The sequence below is a fragment of the Homo sapiens genome, chromosome 6 (assembly GCF_000001405.40).
Source record: "Homo sapiens chromosome 6, GRCh38.p14 Primary Assembly".
NCBI classification, from domain to species: Eukaryota; Metazoa; Chordata; class Mammalia; order Primates; family Hominidae; genus Homo; species Homo sapiens.
The window spans coordinates 20,080,681-20,094,213 of NC_000006.12; the positions used below are offsets into that span (position 1 = coordinate 20,080,681).

General features: G+C 38.0%; 1 annotated feature.

Annotated features, from left to right (window-relative positions):
* Window positions 11,513-12,016: an enhancer, noted in NCBI's record as "OCT4-NANOG hESC enhancer chr6:20092424-20092927 (GRCh37/hg19 assembly coordinates)". NCBI's record gives its function as "activates a minimal SCP1, AML or CMV promoter by ChIP-STARR-seq in primed H9 embryonic stem cells {active_cell/tissue: H9 hESC(primed)}" and the evidence as "EXISTENCE:reporter gene assay evidence [ECO:0000049][PMID:30033119]".

Here is a 13,533-nt window from a genome sequence, read left to right on the forward strand (position 1 = left end):
GGCGATTCCTCAGGGATCTAGAACTAGAAATACCATTTGACCCAGCCATCCCATTATTGGGTATATACCCAAAGGACTATAAATCATGCTGCTATAAAGACACATGCACACGTATGTTTATTGCAACACTATTCACAATAGCAAAGACTTGGAACCAACCCAAATGTCCAACAATGATACACTGGATTAAGAAAATGTGGCACATATACACCATGGAATAGTATGCAGCCATAAAAAATGATGAGTTCATGTCCTTTGTAGGGACATGGATGAAGCTGGAAACCATCATTCTCAGCAAACTATCGCAAGAACAAAAAACCAAACACCACATATTCTCACTCATAGGTGGGAATTGAACAATGAGAACACATGGACACAGGAAGGGGAACATCACACTCTGGGGACTGTTGTGGTGGGGGGGTAGGGGGGAGGGATAGCTTTAAGAGATATACCTAATGCTAAATGACGAGTTAATGGGTGCAGCAAACCAGCATGGCACATGTATACATATGTAACTAACCTGCACATTGTGCACATGTACCCTAAAACTTAAAGTATAATAATAATAAAATAAAATAAAATAAAAGAAGATATACAAATGGACAAGTACATGGAAAAATGCTCAACATCACTAATGATGTTGAGGGAAGTACAAATCAAAACCACAATGCAATACCACCTCATTCTTGCAAGAATGGCCATAATCAAAAAACCAAAAATTAATAGATGTTGGTGTGGATGTGGTGAAAAAGGAACACTTTTACACTGTTGGTGGGAATGTAAACTAGTACCACCACTATGGAAAACAGTGTGGAGATTCCTTAAAGAACTAAAGGTAGATCTACCATTTGATCCAGCAATACCACTACTAGGTATCTACTGAGAAGAAAAGAAGTCATTGTATGAAAAAGATACTTGCACATGCATGTTTGTAGCAGCACAATTTGCAATTGCAAAAATCTGGAACCAGCCCAAATGCCCATCAATCAACAAGTGGATAAAGAAAATGTGGTGTGTATATATATATGTGTATATACATATATATATATGGTGTGTGTGTGTGTGTGTGTATATATATATGAAATGTACACACACCATGAATTACTACTCATGGAATACATATATATGTGTGTGTGTGTATATATATATACACACACACACATATATATGTACATATATGTATATATAGTATATATATGTACATATATGTATATATATATATATACACACACACACACAGACACCATGGAATACTACTCAGCCATAAAAAGGAATGAAATAATGGCATTTGCAGAAATCTGGATGAAATCAGAGATTATTATTCTAAGTAAAGTAACTCAGGAATGGAAAACCAAACATTATATGTTTTCACTCATATATGGGAGTTAAGCTACAAGGATGCAAAGGCATAAGAATGATACATTGGACTTTGGGGACTTGGGGGAAAGGGGGTGTGGTGGCGCACAAAAGATTACACATTGGGTATAGTGTACACTGCCTGGGTGATGGGTGCACCAAAATCTCAGAAATCACCACTAAATAACTTATTCATATAACCAAACACTACCTGTTCCCCAAAAACCAATTGAAATAAAAAAATTCAGGCTGTGATATCTCATGACCACCCTTCTGTCAACCAACCTCTTTTGCTAGCACCCTGATTAGCCATTACCTTGGTCTGTTTCCAGGATCCATCCAGTGAGAGTACAAACCAGCAGCATATGATTAAGTTAGCCTGTTCCCTTTGTCGGGCTTTGCAAACGAGAGGAAGAGGGATCAGCCTAACTCCAAACACAACATCAACTTCTTGGAGATACTAGTACTGTGCCCAAATCTTCAATGGCAGATTCCTAGAAAATCAGACCTTAACGAGACCTATATTTTCATACTACAACTTTTCTCTTCAACACCTGGCAAATATTCCATATTATATAATTAGTCACACGTGTCAAACATCTGGTTGTCACATTCTGACTTGATCCAGAGATACTGCTAACTATTCCTATCGAGTAGTGAGAAGGAAAATATTTATGATTAATACCAGTTCAATAACCAGGGAAGGATTTAGCCTTCCTGTCTCTTTGAATTATCATATCATTGCACTTTTTTTCTTCTCCTCTTCAGTCTTTGATCATTTCTTTCTACCTTCTTTTGCTTCCAAACTAAGAGTGTTTCCAAGGTTATGACCTTAGAAACAGACGTTTTTTGTTCTTTGAAAGTTATAAAGAACTCAAGTATTTTTTTAAAAGTCTCCTTTTTTCAATGGTAAATAGATTCTTAATGACCCTACAAGTGGTGCGAAGACTATAACTGTAGAAGAGTAATTCTACAATTACTTATTATGTAGAATTGTATTATGTAATTATGTAGAATTGCATTATGTAATTATGTAGAATTACTCTTCTACAGTTATAGTCTGCCAAAGTTTGGTAATTGTTATTTTGTCTTTGGCTAGAAAATTATCTGTTTTCTTTACATTTTCCAATACATTATAGAATTGCATATAATATCCTTTTATAATTATTTTCACCATGTGAAAACCTGCGGTTGCATCTCCATTTTCATTCCAAAGCTGAACACATTTGTTTTCCTTTCTATCCAACCTTTAAATGTTGGGCTTTCTTAGCCTTCTTCTCTATTCCACTTGCTCCTTAGACAACATCACCCATGCTCACGGCTTCAGTTGCCATCTATGTGCTAAATGGCCTCAAACTATTATCTTCAGCACAGAACCCGTCCCTGATTTCTGGAGCTACAAATCCACTGCCTACTCTAACTCTCCTCTTGGATATTTTAAAGATATCTTATATAAGTTGTACAAAATAGAACTTAGCATCATTCTCTTTAAGCCTGCATCTCCTACTCTCCCTTATTTCAGTGAATGGCATCACCCATTGGCTCTACATCCTTCTCCACTCGTGTCTACTTCGTGTCCTAAATACCTCTTGATTCCATCCACTCCTCTCCAACTCCACTGCGACCACTCAACACCAAGTTACCGTAAGCATTCTCTTAGATGCCTACACTGCCTGCTAAATGGGCTCCATGTGCTGTATCCCCTTTTGTCCTCTTTTAATGGCTTCTCTTACTGCAGTCTAAGCAATCTCTTTTAAAATCGTGAAATAATTTCAGACTTACAGAAAAGTTGCAAAAGCAGCATGAAGAATTTATTGCACCTGGGTTCTCCAAATATTAATTTTTCCTGAATTCTGAGCATCAACAAGTATTAATATTTTATCATGTTTTATCATGGGTCATTTGTTTTCATAGTAACTCTCATTCTCATTCATTCTATCTCTACTTTTTCTCCTAAGCCATTTGAGAGTAAGTTACACACAAGATGCCCTTCTACCCTTAAGTATTATAGTGTGCAAAGACAAGGATATTCTTTGAGATAGCCTCAATACAATTATGAAAATCAGGAAATTGACATTGATCTAAGGTCTAATCTATAGATATTTTTCAATTTTTTCCAGTTGTCTCACTAATGCCCTTTATAGCAAGAGAAAAAAGTGCTGGTCCAGAATCCATCCCAGATCACATGTTGCCATGTCTCCTCAGTCTCCTTCAACCTGGAACAGTTCCTCAGTCTTTCCCTGTCTTTTGATACTTCACTGTGTAAGTATGTGTGTGTGTTTTAAAAGAATACAGGGAACTTTGTAGAATGTCCCTCCCATTGTGTGTGTCTTATGTTTTCCCACAATCTGATCCAGGCATGCGTTGTTAGCAGAAGTATCACAGAGTGATGTTATGTTCTTCTCAGTGCATTACATGAGGAGGTACATGATGCTGATTCATCCATTAGTGGTAATGGTAACTTTGATCACTTGGTTAGAGTGGTGTCTGATAGCTTTCTCTATTTATTTTTTTTCCCTTGGCAGTCAGTAAGTATTTTGTGGCAAAGTACTTTGACACTATATAAATATCCTGTTTCTCATCAAACTTTCACCCATAAAATTTAGCATTACATGATCTGCTCTGCTTTGAACTTTGTAATAACTTCTCATGCCTTTAAGATAAACTCTGAAATGCTTAATGTAGCCAGAGGCCCTGAATGGTCTGGTTCTTGCTTACATTATCAGCCTCATTATGAGCTGCTTTCCCCCTTGCTCTCAACTCTAATCACACTGGCCACTTTCAGTTCTTTGCTAATGCACTGCACACCTTCCCTATTCAGGATTTTTACATAGGCTCTTCCTTCTTCCCGGAATGTGTGCCCCCCAGTTTCCTTTTTGCTTAGTTAAGCCTAGCTGAGCACAGATGTCACATCTACAAAGAAGCGTTCTCTGTTCCCTCACACTAAGTTGAGTCCCATGTCCCTTTTTCATAGTTGTAGGGCTCACTGTTGGTTGCCTGTCATTGTTCTTCCTCTGAGATAAGTGAACAAATTCCCATTAAAAGGGAACAATTAGAGAATACAAAACATTTGAAATCAAGCACATGAAATGTTTAAATTCAATAAGAATAATGAACTATAAATTAACGTATGACTAATAAGAGTCCCAGAGAGGGAGAAGGGATAGCAAAAGGAGGAAACTTTCAAATAAATAATAAAAGAAAATTTCCCAGTACTGTGGAAACTTGACTTTGCATATTGCAAGGATCTACCGAATGTCCAGAATAGTAAATAAAGAATGACCCACACCAAGACATAAAGAAATATCAAAACATGACACATTTCTATAACTAAAAACTTCTGGAGCCAAAAATAAAAACAATCTACAATGGAGCAACTGATGGAGGTTTATTTTTCCTTAAACTTCTAAAGGAAAATGGCTTTCATCCATAAATTCTATACCCTATCAACCTCTTAATAAAGTTTTGAGTAGACTAGACATCATGTCTCATGCAATCTTTCTCCTGAACAATCTTTCTCTCTTACTCCAGTGGAGTAGCATCAGAAGAAAGATTGAAGTAAAAAAAAAATGGAGAAAACCAAGAAAGAGTTATGCAAAAGACTCCAAGAAACAGGGGATTCAATAGAGGAGAGTGGCAAAGGCAAGTCCCAGGTGGATGAAGATAAGCAGCCACCCAAGAGAGCAAGGAGTCTAGATTGAAGGAAAACAGAAGGCTTCAGGAAGGTATCTCTGGGGGGGTGGGGTGGTTAAAAGTGGAATTGATCAATATTCTGAAGATATTGACCATGTGAGAAATAATACTGAGAGACACTCATGAGATATATGAGATAGTTGGGAAGGATGACCAATAGGTATAAAGAAAACTGGGCAAATGATAGACAAGACAATTATTAATCTAGGCAAAATAGAAGTTGTTCAAGAAAGGAAATGTTATCATGACACACCACTTGGCTCCAGGGTGGACAATATTTACATAAGAACACAATGTAAATATTGAATCTTAGGAGAGTAGAGGAAGGTTAAGTGAATAGAGGTTTAAAGAGGTACAAAGAACCATAATAGGAAGTCAACGAAACGAATGAGGTCTAAAATGGGTAAATGAAAAAATGTCAGTAGGATGCTAAGTAGAAATATGGAGATGAAATAACTGAAGAAAGATATGCAGAGTTGAAGTTGGGTGCCTCTGGAAGGCAGGACTGGGGAAGGAGCAGGAGCAGAAAAGGGCAGAGCAGTGTGCAGGAAGAGCATTCCAAGCAAGAGGCTGCTAAGGTCACTGCAATCCCAGGTCAATTTACCAAGCACCTTTTTCAGACCCCAGGTTCCTCCAGGCAGAGATACCAATCCGTTAGTGTCACAGATGTGACACATGCATACATAATTACATAACTAATGACACAGATGTAACCAGAGAGGATGGAAGAAGTGATGCACCTGTAGTATTCCAGAAATTGTTAAAGACACATGTTTAGGTTTCATTATTTATATTAGGTTCGTGCAAAAGTAATTGTGGTTTTTGCCATTAAAAGTAATGGCAAAATTACTTTTTGCCACAATTTGATTGTGGATTCTGTGCTTATAAATTAATGCTGGTTGGTTTTCTTCCAATTGCCTTCAAATAATTTAATGTTTCTAAAGTTAAAATTATATGTTATTTATAGATACTATTGCTTACTAAACTGGTCTACCGGGATTTCTATTGTGTTAAATGTTCTCCTACATGTAAATTAGTGAGCAAAACATAAGTGTACTGCTCAGTTATCACAAAGTGAACACCTGTGAAAAACTATCTCGATCAAGAAAGAGTGCGCTAGCCCCCTAGAAGCACCTCTTCTGCCCACACCCAATCACTACACCTTCCTCTTCCTCAAAAGTAACTGTCATGACTTCTAATAATATACCTGAGTTTTTCTTGGTTTTTGGACTTTACATAAAATGGGGTCCTGTAATATGTATTTATTTGTCTGGATTTTTTGCTTTTTTCTTTTATATGTATTGTGGAAGTACTTTTGTATATAGACCTTGTATTTCATGATTTTGCTAAGCTCACTTATCAATTCTAATAACTTATCTGTATGTATTTCCTATAGGATTTCTATGTATAAAACTATAAAACTCTATTTAATAAAAAATCTCTTCCATTCCAACCCTTTTCTCCTGTATTTCTTTTTCTTGCCTTATTGCATTTACTAGTAATTCTAATACATGTTTTCTTGTCCCTAATTTCAAGGAAAAAGCTTTCAACTTTTCACTATCACATGTTGGTTGCTATAGGTTTTTGTGTGTTCATTAGATAAAAGAAGCTCCTTTCTATTGCTGACTTGCCAAGGATTTTAACATCTTGAGTAGATCTTGAATGTATCCAATTGCTTGTCATGTACCTATTAAAATGATCATTATAATATCTCTTCTTTATTCTGTGAGCATGCTATATACCAAACTGGCATTCCCAAAATCAACCAATCTGAGCAAGGTTTATTATCCTTTTGACATATTGCTCCATTCACTTCATTAATATTTTGTTCAGGGTTTCTGAGTAGGATTCACCTGTAGTTTTCTTATAATGTTTGTTATATTTTGTATCAAGGTTATTCAAACATTAGAGATTATCTTTGTTCTTTACTATTCTTTGAAAAAGTTGCAAAAGTTTAGCGTTACTTCTTTCTTAAATATTTGGAAGAATTCACCATTGAGACTCTGAGGCTAAAGTTTTCCTCGTGGGAAAGTTGGCAATTATAGATCCCATTTATTTAATAGTTATAAGATTATTCTGATTTTTATATTCCTTGTTGTGTCAGTTTTGGTCAGTTGTGACCTTTTAAAGAACATGTCAATTTCATCTAACTCATCAAACTTACTGTTTAAAGCTGTTCATGATATTCTTATAATCTTTTAAATTTGCATTTGAAAAGGATCCTGTTTGCATCAGGATCTATGGTATTGTCTCCTTTTTGATACCTGGTAATAGTTGTTTGTGTTTTCTATCTATTTTTCTTAAATCAGTATATCCAGGAGTTTATCAATTTTATTGCTCCTTTTTCAAGAATGAACTTTCAGTCTTACTGATCCTCTTTATTGACTGTTTTCTATTTCATTAACTTTTCCTCTTACCTTTATTCTCTCCTTTCTAACTTTTTGGGGAGTTTAATTTTCTTACGTGATGCTAACCTCTGAGATGAAAGTTTAGATCATTTATTTCCATACCTTGTTCTTTCCTAACATATAAATTTAAGGCTATAAATTTTAAGCATGACTTTAACAGTACCCCACCCATCTGGTTTAGTAGTAGTAGTAGCACCTTTGTCACTTTGAATCAATTATTTTAATCAATTATTTTAAAAATATTAGATCTACCTTTAATCACATTCCCTCATAAGCCTCTAAACTATTTTTTAAGTTATCTTCTTTTATTTTATCATTTTTTATTTTTTGAGACAGAGTGTCACTCTGTTGCCCAGGCTGGAGTGCAGTGGCACAATCTCGGCTCACGGCAACCTCCGTCTCCTGGGTTCAAGTGATTCTCCTGCCTCAGATTCCCAAGTAGCTGGGACTACAGGTGCGTGTCACCACACCCAGCTAATTTTTTGTATTTTTAGTAGAGACAGGGTTTCACCGTGTTAGCCAGGATGGTGTCCATCTCATGACCTCGTGATCCGCCTGCCTTGGCCTCCCAAAGTGCTGGGATTATAGGCGTGAGCCACTGTGCCCAGCCTTATCTTCATATATTAATTTGACAGAGGAGGGGGAAACTTTCAACTTCCCATTGTATAGAGGACAGGTGAGAAGGATGCGGCACACCTGCCTGTTTGGTCCCACATTCAAGCTTCATTCTTCCCACCCAAATTCCTCAGCAAGACTTCTCAGTTGATTACTCCCTTCTCTGAGCCTCTGTAGTATTTGACGTCCGCTTTACTCATTTTGACACTTGACAATAAGCCTTCTTACTGTGCTACTTTTTCAGGTGTGCACGGATTTTCAATCAACCTATTGTGATAAGAAGAGGTACTAGATCCTTACAAATATTTTGCGTCTCCGTTAGCATGTTGCATGGTGCTAGATGTGTGAATCACAGTCGGTAATCACGTAAGACACAGGCAGAGCAGGTGTATGGGTAGAGGGGACAGGGCTAGCGTGCCCTGCCCACATACTCTCAACACTCATGTTTCCTGTGCAGGCAGCAGCTTCTTACTGCAATCCTCTACAACTGCGCCAAGGGGCTCTCTCCAACTGCTGAGCATGCTTTTCCTACCTCCAGGACATTCTATGATGCTGGGAGTTGTGTCAGTGACAAACGAGAGTTGGTCCATGAGCACCCCAGCCTCCTCTTCTCTCCAGTGGAATGAATGAGGTGTGCTCTGTGCAGTCTCACAGAGTTACCTGGTGTGCTGAGCCCCAGAGCCCACAGTGGTCATCTGCTAATCAATGCACTCTGCATTAGCATCCGTCCCTTCCCTGCCTCACCTCCCCATTCCAAATGCTTCCTGAGATCACTTCCCAAACAAACTACTTTTACTTAAATTCAATCCTCATCTCAGGGTCTACATATGGGGAAATAACCCAAGACTGTCTGTCGGCCTTTCCTTCTCTCTAAAGGGATTATCCATCATTCGGAGATTAACAAAGCTTAAAAAACAATTTTTTTCTGTTTCTTACTTTTTCTGCTTCCCAATTTTATTTACATGACCAAAACAAACAAATTTTAAATACAAGTTATAAGTTATTCAAGTAGCACAAGAAGAATTTTTGGCATAATTATTTATTTATTTATTTATTTATTTTGAGATGGAGTCTCGCTGTGTCATGCAGGCTGGAGTGCAGTGGCATGATCTTGGCTCACTGCAACCTCCATCTCCCAGGTTCAAGTGATTCTCCTGCCTCAGGCTCCCGAGTAGCTGGGATTACAGGTATGTGCCACCATACCTGGCTAATTTTTGTATTTTTTGTAGAGATGGGGTTTCACCATGTTGGCCAGGCTGGTCTCCTGGCCCCAAGTGATCCGTCTGCCTCGGTCTCCCAAAGTGCTGTTACTAAAGGTGTGAGGCACCGTGCCCTGCCAATATAATTCTTAAAATGAACTTGAGCAGTTTGGCGACGCCTGACCTAAGTCCTAGGGGAAAGCCCAGGGTTTCGATTCTGTTGCCATCACTTACTGTGGGTGTGTCCATGGGAAACTCACTCAAGTTATTCAGGCCTCAGGTTCCTAATTTTAAAACGGATAGTAACATCTGGTTCCACTAACTTTAGATTGTTGGTTTGGGAAACAAAGGAAATAATGTAAGAGAAAGCACTTTATAAACTGAATTACAAACAAAACGTGGGATGAAATAGAGTGTCACCTCTTTTCATGAGGTTCTGGAACTAGTCTTGCAGTGTTTAGAAAACTAATCACAAGAAAGAGAAAAAATGAAGGGAGGAAGGAAAGAATAGACTTGCCTAAAAGATAGGTTGTTTCGAAATATTTTCCCCCACGATGGTAAGACATAAACTCAATCTGTGAATTTTATCCAAGTCCCAGGTTTTGTTGAGAAACAAGTGAGCTGGGAAGGAAGAACTAGAAAGATTAATTCACTGCATTGCTTGGCCTAGTAACCATGGGCCAGAAGAGAACCTATGCCTACTTCACACTTCCGTGTGTGAACAAGGCATGTTATTTATTGTGTCTGCTAGGCACAGAGTGAAGACTTCAATATTTGCCAGAATGTTTGTGCTTCTTTCTAAATTCAGAAACTTGCCTAAATGGCTGGACGCAGTGGCTCAGGCCTGTAATCCCTGCACTTTGGGAGACTGAGGTGGGCAGATCACCTGAGGTCAGGAGTTCGAGACTACCCTGGCCAACATGGCAAAACCCTGTCTCTACAAAAAATACAAAAATTAGCTGGTTGTGGTGGCGCACGCCTGTAATCCCAGCTACTTCGGAGGCTGAGGCAGGAGAACTGCTTGAACCCAGGAGGTGGAGGTTGCAGTGAGCTGAGATCACATCACTGGCACTCTAGCCTGGGCGACAGAGTGAGACTCCATCCTTCCGCTCCCCTACCTCCCCGCCCGCAAAAAAAAACTTGCCTAACTGCTCCAACCATAAAACTGAAATGTCAGTGGTGGAAGATAACATATAAAACACCTGTATTTTCCTTTAAGTCATTCAGAACTTATTACCTAGGAAACAAAATACTACAAAGTTATAGGCCAAAAAATAAGTGTTGAGAAGCTCACTACTGGAAATAAAGAGGTTCAGAAGAGTGTGAAGAAAAACATCAAATTATGGAATGTTAGAAGCAGAAGCAACCATGCTGGTCAGCTTATTTAATACCCACCTTTTACACACAAGAAACTTGATCTCCAAAGAACTTATATGACCCCATATCACAATGACCTATTTCCACTATATCATCATTTGAGAATTCTGTCAGCTTCATAACTCATATTATGGTTTAACTCATTTAATCCCCACAATTCTGAAGAGTAATTATAATTGCTAGCATTCCTCCTAAGAAGAAAAGTATTCAGAGCCGGTTGCTCACTTTTTTTATGGTCACACAGCATGTAGAGGCAGAAATTTGCCTTAAATGAAGCTATTTTGCCTTCAGCATCTCTGCTCCTTGGAGTTTACACACCCTCCTGTGTGCTTTTTTCCTACAGTGGAGAGAGGACAGGGCAGGGAAACAATTCATTATTTGACCCTATAGCAATAGGGTCATTAAAATCTGACCTTTACTCCGAAAGACTATCATTTACTGTTCAAAAGAAACACCAGACAGTGACTCACGCCTGTAATCCCAGCACTTTGGGAGGCTGAGGCGGGCTGATCACGAGGTCAGGAGTTCGAGACCAGCCCGGCCAATACAGTGAAACCCTGTCTCTACTAAAAAATACAAAAATTAGCCTGGCATGGTGGCACACACCTGTAGTCCCAGCTACTCAGGAGGCTGAGGCAGGAGAATCGCTTGAACCCAGGAAGCGGAGGTTGCAGTGAGCCGAGATCATACCACTGCACTCCAGCCTGGGCGACAGAGCAAGACTCCATCTCCAAAACAAACAAACAAAAAAAAACCAGAGGTTAAAGTGGCAATTGCTAAGCATTCTAAGCATTCAGAGTGTGAATGAACAAATGAATGAATGAACAAATGAATGCTTGACTTCCTAATTCAACATGGAAATCATCAGAAATTACCTCACATGGCCACAAGATGTCACTACTTCACACCACTTCAGAAAAATCACATTCTAAGTCAAGAATTTTAGATCCTTTGGACAGAGGGAATTTCTTGTTCCTCATTGAGAAAGGCTTAGTTATTTTGCATGTGTTTTGGGACTGCTTCCTTGTTTTCTCTTAAGTCTATCTACCTCAAGAGATACTGCAAAACGTAGACTTTAAATGAAGGCTGAGGCTGAATGCTCTTAAGCTGGGAAGCATTAATCAAGAAGTCAATCACTCACCTGTTTCCAGGGACTTCTCAGCAAAAACAAAGGCAGGATTGACACTTTGACTACTCTGTTACCCTGCTCTGTTTGCAAAGCTTTCTCTCAGCACTTTCTTGTAATTCTACCTCTCTCATTGCTTCAGATTCACAAAAAAACAGTGATTCAGCAACATCCAAAAGGCAGCACACTGGGGTTTTAAATAGTGCTTTCTTCTTGAAATGTTTGCCTCACACCTTCCTTACCGGGAATAAGGTTCAAATTACTGCAGTGAGTTTACATAAGCTATTAATGCATTTAATTATTCAGTTCAGGGCTGTCCTGGGCTTATTGGTATTTTTTTTTAAGTATCATGAGACTCCAGTTTGCAAATCATCATTTCAAGTTCTTAAAAGTTTTTATACACCAAAATAATGTTAACCAAGCTTGATATTTCAACTTCAGCTATATTTAACATTGATAAAATAAACTTCAAATTTATTTTGATGGAAATATTTTATTCATGAGATCAACTGATGCTTGTAGATTGATTTTTAACAGTCCTAGAAAGTTTTAGAGTTTGATGTATTTTATTGGCATTCTCTATTAGATTCCCCTTCCTAACATTTCTTATTGAAATTGTTGATAAATAATCTTCATCAATTAGCCATTCAAGTTTGATGGGGCTGAGAAGGAAGGAAGCTCATTCATAAAAAGAAGCTGCTTGGTGGGTTTGGGGATCATTCAACTTTATAGGCCAAAAAAGCTGTTTTGCCTTAAAGGTCCATATTTCACACCACTTCAGAAAAATCCCATTCCAAGTCAAGAATTTTAGATCCTTTGGACAGAGGGAATTTCTTGTTCATCATTGAGAAAGGCTTAGTTATTTTGCATACGTTTTGGGACCACTTCCTTGTTTTCTCTTAAATCTACCTCAAGAGATACCGCAAAAAATGTAGACTTTAAATGAAGCCTGAGGCTGAATGCTCTAAAGCTGGGAAGAATTAATCAAGAATTTCTGGTGATTTCCATGTTGAATTAGGAAGTCGAGCATTCATTTATTTGTTCATTCATTCATTCACACTCTGAATGCTTAGAATGCTCAGCAATCGCCACCTTAACTTCTTAGGAAGAACAAATACATCCCATTTACTGAGAGGCTAAACAAACAGTCACTCGCCAGGCAAAGGGTTAAACGGTTCAGAGAAGGAGGCCTCAATCTCCACATTGTGATGGACTATACAATATGTAAAAGTCATTTCTTACTAGCAATAGTTTAAAGAGTTAAGGTTTGCAAGTGATTTTCCACTTAAAATTAAATAAATTACCTAACCGCATTCAAGTCAACCCCCATTACAACTTCACTGGATTTCATTCCTTGCTATGCTCATTAGAGCAGGAGAGAAAGAGACGGGAGATTTCATGGCATGTGGACATTCTCATCCTGTAAAGTTAAATGGAAAATTAAAATTCCAAACTCTATAGGAAGCATTAGACTTTTCCACAGATAAATGCCGATACCAAAGAACAACCAGAAATATAAAACAACAAAACAAAACAAACCTTCAACACAAAAACTAGAAATAAAATGCCAACAGGGGCTGGGATTATAGATGCCTTATTCCTTTTCTGTATTTTCAAATTTTTCTAAAAGGAATATATTTTTTAAATAAAGCAGCAGAAACCAAATGCCCAACCATTAGGGGACTGCTTTTCAAAATTATAGCACATTTATTTACACACTATTATGCAGCCATCAAAAACAACTTTTAGGAAGTTTCTG